The sequence below is a fragment of the Homo sapiens genome, chromosome 9 (genome assembly GCF_000001405.40).
Source record: "Homo sapiens chromosome 9, GRCh38.p14 Primary Assembly".
Lineage (NCBI taxonomy): Eukaryota > Metazoa > Chordata > Mammalia > Primates > Hominidae > Homo > Homo sapiens.
In genome coordinates, this window is record NC_000009.12 from 41,594,797 (window position 1) to 41,603,612 (window position 8,816).

Here is an 8,816-nt window from a genome sequence, read left to right on the forward strand (position 1 = left end):
AACTATTATACTTGTTCATGTATAACTGTCACTTTAGTGACTGCATGTCCAAAATATATTTTATACATTTTTACTGAGATTATTCACACTTCAGTCTTCCTGCTTTAGTACAAAATATTTTAGACAAACTATTATACTTGTTCATGTATAACTGTCACTTTAGTTATAAAAATGATGCTTAAGTTAAAAACAAAATGGCCGGGCGCGGTGGCTCACGCCTGTAATCCCAGCACTTTGGGAGGCCGAGGCGGGTGGATCATGAGGTCAGGAGATCGAGACCATCCTGGCTAACAAGGTGAAACCCCGTCTCTACTAAAAATACAAAAAATTAGCCGGGCGTGGTGGCGGGCGGCAGGAGAATGGCGTGAACCCGGGAAGCGGAGCTTGCAGTGAGCCGAGATTGCGCCACTGCAGTCCGCAGTCCGGCCTGGGCGACAGAGCGAGACTCCGTCTCAAAAAAAAAAAAAAAAAAAAACAAAATAATTTTAATAAAGAAGTGTGAGAAGTAATATATAACCTCTGAGTCAGTCAGAATCTAGCAAATCTTTATAGGTCACATACATTAAACATTCTTACATTCACTGTCAGTGGCTCTAATTAAGAATGATCATATAAAAAGATCTTTTCATTTTTCTTGGCTTTTTCTAGTTTGCCCAAATCGCACCAATTATTTCTTCTATACTGTTGGTTCATGAGTTCGTGACTGTACATAGTTAGTAATTACTTAAAATCAGATTTTTTTTTTACATTTTACTGAAACATAGTTTAATTCACCTTTGCTTTTCTCCCACTAGCTTGATATATTATTGAACTATAATAATTTTAAAAAGAAAAATCACACTATGCCAAAGATAAGGAAACATTTAAATGACAGAACTATTTTGTCTGAATAAAGACACAAGATCATATATAGAGAAGAGAAAATGAGCTAATTCATATATTTGGATGATATGAAGTAGATTAAATATTTTATGTTTTTAAATAAGTAACATGTTAAGCAAGACAGAAAATTATTTTTAATAAAATAAAAAATATACAAAAGCTTTAAAATTCATGCAAATATCTAAATGAAAGAAGAAATCAGACAATGTATATCTTGGCATTGTTCAGTTGGGGATTATTGCTTGGACGATATTTGCTATATTTGTATTTCTCTGTCTTGTTATTTTTTTTTCTATTAGCTGAACATAAAAATTTCAAACACGAAACTAAAATAAATGAGTAAAATAACATCATTATGGGCTGACATACTTTTGGTGTGTTAAGGTGTATTACTAATATGATACATATTGTAAAAACCATCAATAATAATTTAAAATTATAATATTTAACAATAAAATTACTATGTTTTGTAATTAACTATGCTAACTATATCATTAACTATATTAATGACTGATATTGCATAAAAATATATTTGTATAGCAGATAAAAAGATGGGGGAGGGATAGCATTAAGAGAAATATCTAATGTAAATGATGAGTTAATGGGTGCAGCAAACCAACACGACACATGTATACATATATAACAAACCTGCACATTTTGCACATGTGCCCTAGAACTTAGAGTATAATAAAAAAAAGTTGTAAAGATAAATTTTGTCTAGAATTCAACTAAGAGGCACCTAGAAATTTTTAAGGATAATTAAAATTCGAAGATGAAATTTGAATGTTAACATAAAGCAAAATAAAAGAAATGCCAAATACATACAATTTTAAAACTATAACAACTTCAAAATTCAAAAAGAAACTTTTATATTATTATGTTATATAATATTTTTATTTTTAAAGGCACTTTTTTCTTGTGATTAAAGGTATGTGTTCTCTTAAAAACATGTATTTCTCTACATTTAAAAAAATGATTTTTTAACTTAAAAAATAAATTATTTTCTTCCTTTTTCTATTCCTATTTTATTTTTTTAAATTTTTTTAGACTTTTGGCCATTTTTCTTAACTTTATATAGCACTAAAATGACTTATAAAATACTATAATTATATAAATTTTGATAGGATGTTAGTGGAAATTTATATGCTATTCTGTTAGTTTATTAAATTAATGTTTATTTTTATACAAACATTAATTATTTTCAAAGTGGCCACTAAAATGAATAATAAGCAATCATAAAATAATTATACAAAATTATATAGATAAATAAGGGCAGAAATTGTTTATTTTTATATAACTATTTATTTTATTTTATTTTTTTGAGAGGGAATCTCGCTCTGTCACCCAGTCTGGAGTGCAGTGGCACGATTTCGGCTCACTGCAAACTCCACCTCCTGGGTTCACACCATTCTCCTGCCTCAGCCTCCATAGTTGCTGGGACTATAGGTGCCCACCACCACATCCAGCTAATTTTTTTTTTTTTTTGTATTTTTAGCAGAGACAGGATTTCACTGTGTTAGCCAGGATGGTCTTGATCTCCTGACCTCATGATCCACCCGCCTTGGCCTCCCAAAGTGCTAGGATTATAGGCATGAGCCACTGCGCCCAGCCAGAAATTGTATATTTTTAAATACACTAATAATCTTAATAATGCATCCGGTATATTTATATGAGTTACTGAGAAAGGTGTATTAGAATCACCTTCAATAATTTTGGTTTTAAAAATTTATCCAATTAAGAGACACTAGACCTTCTTTTTTCTTCCTAGTGAAAATACAATGAGAAGGCAGCTGTCTGCAAGCCAGGAAGAACTCTTACCAAGAATTGAATCTGCTGGCACCTTTAACTTGGACTTGCCAGCCTGCAGAACTGTGAAAAACAAATGTCTTTTGTGATCAAGTGCCAAGATGACTTACTAGAAGCAGCTAGTATGCTCCACTCTCGTGAAAAGGAAATAGACTGGCCAGTAAACACTAGCACTTCAACTGGATCTTCCAAGAGGACATGTTGGGATTCAGCAAGGAAGCAACAGAAGCCATGGAGAACAAAAACAGCAAGACACAACAGCCACCCACCCAGGATTGGGTGGAGTCAGGGGAGGATCCTTACCACAAAGAAATAGTGACTGAGAGAGAGCCCCATGGCCCCATACTTCTGTCACGGACCTTTGTAATCATAGGCACAGGTGATCCACCCTGAGTCCCTCCCCCTGGGGCCTTCAGACTAACAAGGAGAGCTGCATAGAATCTGGGCAGAGCTCCAGATCAGGCACATGAGAAGTCCCAGGGGTCTTAGACCCCTAAGCACCCCAGTGCTAGTTGCCATAGCTTCACCAACAAGAACGCCAAGTTCTCTGCATGCCAAAAGTTAGTGGCTACATTCATGGTTCTGAGGAGCAGAGGGACTTCATGCCTTGCCTCTGGTTAACCTCTCCAGGCAAGGCACACTGACCTGGAACTCCAGAACAGCCATGAAACACCCATTTGACCTCTTCAACTGGCAGCAGCTCTGCATTTCTCTGGGATGAAGCTCCCAGATGCAATAGACATATCTGCTGTTTTTGCTGCTATTGCAGCTCCAGCCACTACCCAACTGCCTTCAAGGTCAGGAGGGAGTGAAGAGTGTTATGACTGTTGTGGGCCTCCAGCACAGGGCAAGCTGCCTTCTGGAAAAGCAGTCATATAGTTTTTAATGTTGGTCATGGCCCCTTCTACTCCTCACTGGTCAGGGCCTCCTGGCTTGAGCCTCCAGCACAGCCACCTACCTCAGCCTGACAACTTGGGCCAGAAGCAGCATTGCATTTCCCTGGGACAGAGCTCTCATAGGTATAAGACAGGCCTGCCGTTTTTGCCTGCTATAGCCCCTGCCCATAATGCCCTCAGATCAAGAGATAGCAAAGAGGCTTAAGGATTATAGCAGGTCTTCAGCTCAGCACATCTGCCTTATGGAGGTGTTGTCAGACTTTTTTCCATGTCTGTCTTTGCTCCTGCTACTTCTCACTGGGTAGGGCCTCCCGACCTCGGCCCCAGCACAGCTACCCTGCTCCCACTTGAACACTTCAGACAGTGGCACCTGTGCATTTCTCTGGGATAGAATTCCCAGTGACAACCCACAGCCCCTCTGCCATTACATACAGTGGTACCACCCTTGCTGCCTGATATGGTTTGGCTCTGTGTCCCCATTCAAATCTCATCCTGTAGATCCCACAATTCCCATGTTTTGTGGGAGGTACCTGGTGGGAAATGACTGAATAATGGAGATGGGTATTTCCCATGCTGTTCTCGTCATAGTGGATGGGTCTCATGAGATCTAATGATTTTAAAAACAGGAGTTTCCTGACACAAGCTCTCTCTTAGCCTGCTGCCATCCATGTAAGATGTGACTTGCTCCTACTTACCTTTCACCATGATTGTGAGGCCTTCCCAGCCACGTGGAACTGTAAGTTGATTAAACCTCCTTCTTTTGTAAATTGCCCAGTCTCAGGTCTGTCTATCAGCAGCATGAAAATGGAATAATACAGTAAATTGGTACCAGTAGAGTGGGCTCTACTGAAAAGTGCCTGAAAATGTGGAAGCAACTTTAGAACTGGGTAACAGGCAGAGGTTGAAACAGCTTGGAGCACTCAGAAGGAGACAGGAAAATGTGGCAAAGTTTAGAACCACCTAGAGACTTGTTGAATGGTTTTGCCTAAAATGATGTTACTGATACGGACAATGAAATCCAGGATGAGGTGGTCTCCAATGGAGATGAGGATCTTGGGGACTAGAACAAAGGTGACTTTTGTTATGTTTTAGCAAAGAGACTGGTGGCATTTTGCTCCAGGCCTAGAGATTTGTGGAACTTTGAACTTGAGAAAGATGATTTAGGGTATCTCATGGAAGAAATTTCTAAGCAGCAAAGCATTCAAGATGTGACCTGGGTGCTGTTAAAGTCACTCAGTTTTATAAAGGAAGTAGAGCATAAAAGTTCAAAAAGTTTGCAGCTTGACAATGTGATAGAAAAGAAAATCCCATTTTCTGAGGAGAAATTTAAGTCAGCTGCAGAAATTTGTATAAGTAATGAGGAGATGAATGTTAATCCCCAAGACAATAGGGAAAATGTCTCTAAGGCATGCCAGAGGTCTTCATGGCAGCCCCTTCCATCACAGGCCTGGTGACCTAGGAGAAAAAAAGTGGTTTTGTGGGCCAGGCCCAAGGTCATCATGCTGTGAGCAGCCTGGGGACTTGGCACCCTGTGTCCCAGCTGCTCCAGCCATGGCTGAAAGGGGCCAATGTAGACTTTAGGCTGTGGCTTCAGAGGGTACAAGCCCCAAACCTTGGCAGCTTCCACTTGATGTTGAGCCTGTGAGTGCACAGAAGTCAAAAATGGGGGTTTGGGAATCTCTGCCTAGATTTCAGATGTATGGAAATGCCTGGATGTCCAGGAATAAGTTCACTGCAAGGGTGAGGCCCTCATAAAGAACCACTGTTTAGGGCAGTGTGGAAGGGAAATGTGGGGTTGGAGCCCCCACAGAGAGTCCCTACTGGGGCACTGCCTAATGCAGCTGTGAGAAGAGGGCCACCGTCCTCCAGACCCCAGAATGGTAAATCCACTGACAGCTTGCACCGTGCACCTAGAGAAGACTAAGACACTCAATGTCACCCTGTGAAAGCAGCCATGAGGGAGGCTGTACCCTACACAGCCACGGGGGAGGAGCTACCCAAGACCTTGGGAACCCACCTCTTGCATTAGCATGACCTGGATGTGAGACATAGAGTTACTGGGAGATCATTTTGGAGCTTTAAAATTTGACTGTCCCTCTGGATTTCACACTTGCATGGGGCATGTAGCCCTGTTGTTTTGGCCAATTTCTCCCATTTGGAATGGCTGTATTTACCCAATGCCTGTACCCCCATTGTATCTAGGAAGTAACTAACTTACTTTTGATTTTACAGGCTCATAAGTGGAAGGGACTTGACTTGTCTCAGATGAGACTTTGGACTGTGGACTTTTGAGTTAATGCTGAAATTAGTTAAGGCTTTTTGGGACTGTTGGGAAGGCATGATTGGTTTTGAAATGTGAAGATATGAGATTTGGGAGGGGCCAGGGGTATAATACTATGGTTTGACTCTGTGTCCCCACCCAAGTCTCATCTTGTAGTTCCCATAACTTCTACATGTTGTGGGAGGGACCCAGTGGGAAATGATTGAATCATGAGAGTGAGTCTTCCCCATGCTGTTCTCATGATAGTGAATGGGTCTCATGAAATCTGATGGCTTTAAAAATGGGAATTTCCCCAAACGAGGTCTCTATTTGGCTGCAGTCATCCATGTAAGATGTGACTTGCTCCTCTTCTTGACTTCTGCCATGAGTTTGAGGCCTCCTCAGCCATGTAGAACTACAAATTGATTAAACCTCTTTCTTTTGTAAATTGTCCAGTGTCAGGTATGTCTTTATCAGCAGTGTAAAAAAGGACTAAGAAACTCCCCTTGGGCTGGGGAAAGAACAAAATCCTGGTTGCTTCACTAGCTCCTTCATCATGACACAGCTGCCATATAGCGTAGAGCCCAGTCTCTCTTCCTTGTGAGCTCCCAACTCCTATCCTTCACTAAGCAGAACTCCTTGCTTGGGCCTGCAGAGTAGCTACCTCACCCAAGCTGAACATTTCTATTGCCAGTGGCTCTGTGTTATCCTGTGATGGAGCTCCCAGAGGCAAATGACAGCCAACTGCCACTGCCAATGCAGTAGTACCTGCCCTTGCTGTCTTAGACTGGGAAAGAAATAAAAGAGCCTGAATGCTTTACTCATGCTTCCAGCACACTATGATTACCATATGATCACCATATGGCATGGAGCCCAATCTCTATTCTCTGTGAGCCCCTGATCCCCTGCTCTTCACCAGGCAGGGGTCCCAGCAAAGGCTCATAGTGCAGCAGCCCCACTCCAGGCTGAAAATGCCCAGTGGCAGTGGTTCTGCATTTCTCTGGGGTGGAGATCCCAGAAGCAACTGAAAGTTTTTCTGCAACCGCTATTCAGCAGTACTGCCCTTGCTGCCCTCCAACTGGGGAGGGAACAAGACCCCAAGTGCTTTACTCACACCTCCAGCACACTGCAGCTACCCTACAGAGAAGAGATGAATCTGTCTTCTCACAAGCCCTGACACCCTCTGCTCATCACCAGTAGTGTCCCCCAGCTTGGTTCCAAAATGCACAGGCCCCATCAAAGGTTGACCACTCCATTTGGCAGCATCTCTGCATTTCTGTATGGTGGAGCTGCAAAAGACAAGTGATAGACCTCCACACATTACCACTGCCAAGGTCCTCACCCCTTTTGTCCCCAAGCTTGTGAGGAAACAAAAACCTTGAGCTCACCCCAGGGCTGTGATGTGCAGCACTGCAGTGACAAGCCAAGCTATGCAGCCAGCATTTCAGTAGGAGGGAAGCCTACACACACAGAATACTGACACGGAGCATGGCTGCAAATGTGAGAAAATATATATTTGTGTATGAACAAGAGCCTACCTATCAGCCATTATAGGTAGGTAGGCTGAACAAGAGCCTACCTATCAGCCATTATACCTAAGTGTCATCAGCCAGATTGCAGCAGAAACTTCAACTCTAAAATTACTTTGCTAATATAAGCCTCTGTGAAACCCAGGACAATAATTCAGCTACTAATAAAGATCATGCAAAAAGGTGCTTTGAAAACATCCAGAAACAAAGTCAACTGACTATGCTCAAATTATACCACAGTTAAAGAAACACCAGCCCACACAGATGAGAAAAAAGCCAACATAAGAACTCTAGCAACTCAAAAAGTCAGAGTGTCACTTTACCTCCAAATGACTGCACTAGTTCTACAGCAATGGTTGTTAAATAGAAGGAAATGGCTGAAATGACAGATATAGAACTGAGAGGTAGAAGGAAATGAAGATCATTGAAATTCAGTAGAAAGTTGAACACTATTTCCAAGAATCTGAGGAATCCAGTAAAATGATTAAAGAGAAAAAAATTAGCCATTTGAAAAAACAAAACAAGACAAACAAACAAACAAACTAAAACCAAACCTAGCAGGTAGAGTTACAAAATACACTACAAGAATTTCATAAAATGATTGGAAATATTCACAGCAGAATGGACTAAGCCAAGAAAAGAATCTCAGAGATTGAAGACTGATTATTTAAGTTAACACTGCCAGAAAATAAATAAAGAAAAGAAGAATTTTAAAAAATGAAAGGTCAGGCATGGTGGCTCATGCCTGTAATCCCAGCACTTTGGGAGGATATTGAGACCATCCTGGCTAACACGGTGAAACCCTGTCTCTACTAAAAATACAAAAAAAAAAAAATTCACTGGGCATGGTGGCAAGTGCCTGTAGCCCCAGCTACTCAGGAGGCTGAGGCAGGAGATTGGTAGGAACACGGGAGGTGGAGCTTGCATTGAGCCGAGATCATGCCACTGCACTCCAGCCTGGGCTACAGAGCAAGACTCCATCTCAAAAAAAAAAAAGAAAGAAAAAGAAAAGAAAAAACCTTGGAGAAGTAAGGGATTCTGTAAAAAATTTCCCCAATTTCACTAGAGAGATTGACATATAAATTTAGAAAATTCAGATAACCTATGTAAGATGCTATGTAAGACAACCATTGCAGAGACACAAAGTAATCAGATTCTTGAAGGTCAATGCAAAAGAAAAAAATATTAAAGGCAGTTAACGACAAGGGGCAGGTCACATAAAGTGGAAACTACATCAAACTCACAGGGGAACTCTCAGCAATATCCCACAGTCAGAAGACATTAAGAATCCATATTCAGCATTTTTGAAAAAATAAAATTTTGAACCAAGAATTTTATGTCCCACCAAACTAAGCTTCATAAACAAGGGAGAAATAAAATCCATTTCAGATAAGCAAAAGCTAGGGGAATTTATTACCACCAGGCCTTTAGAGACCACAAGAG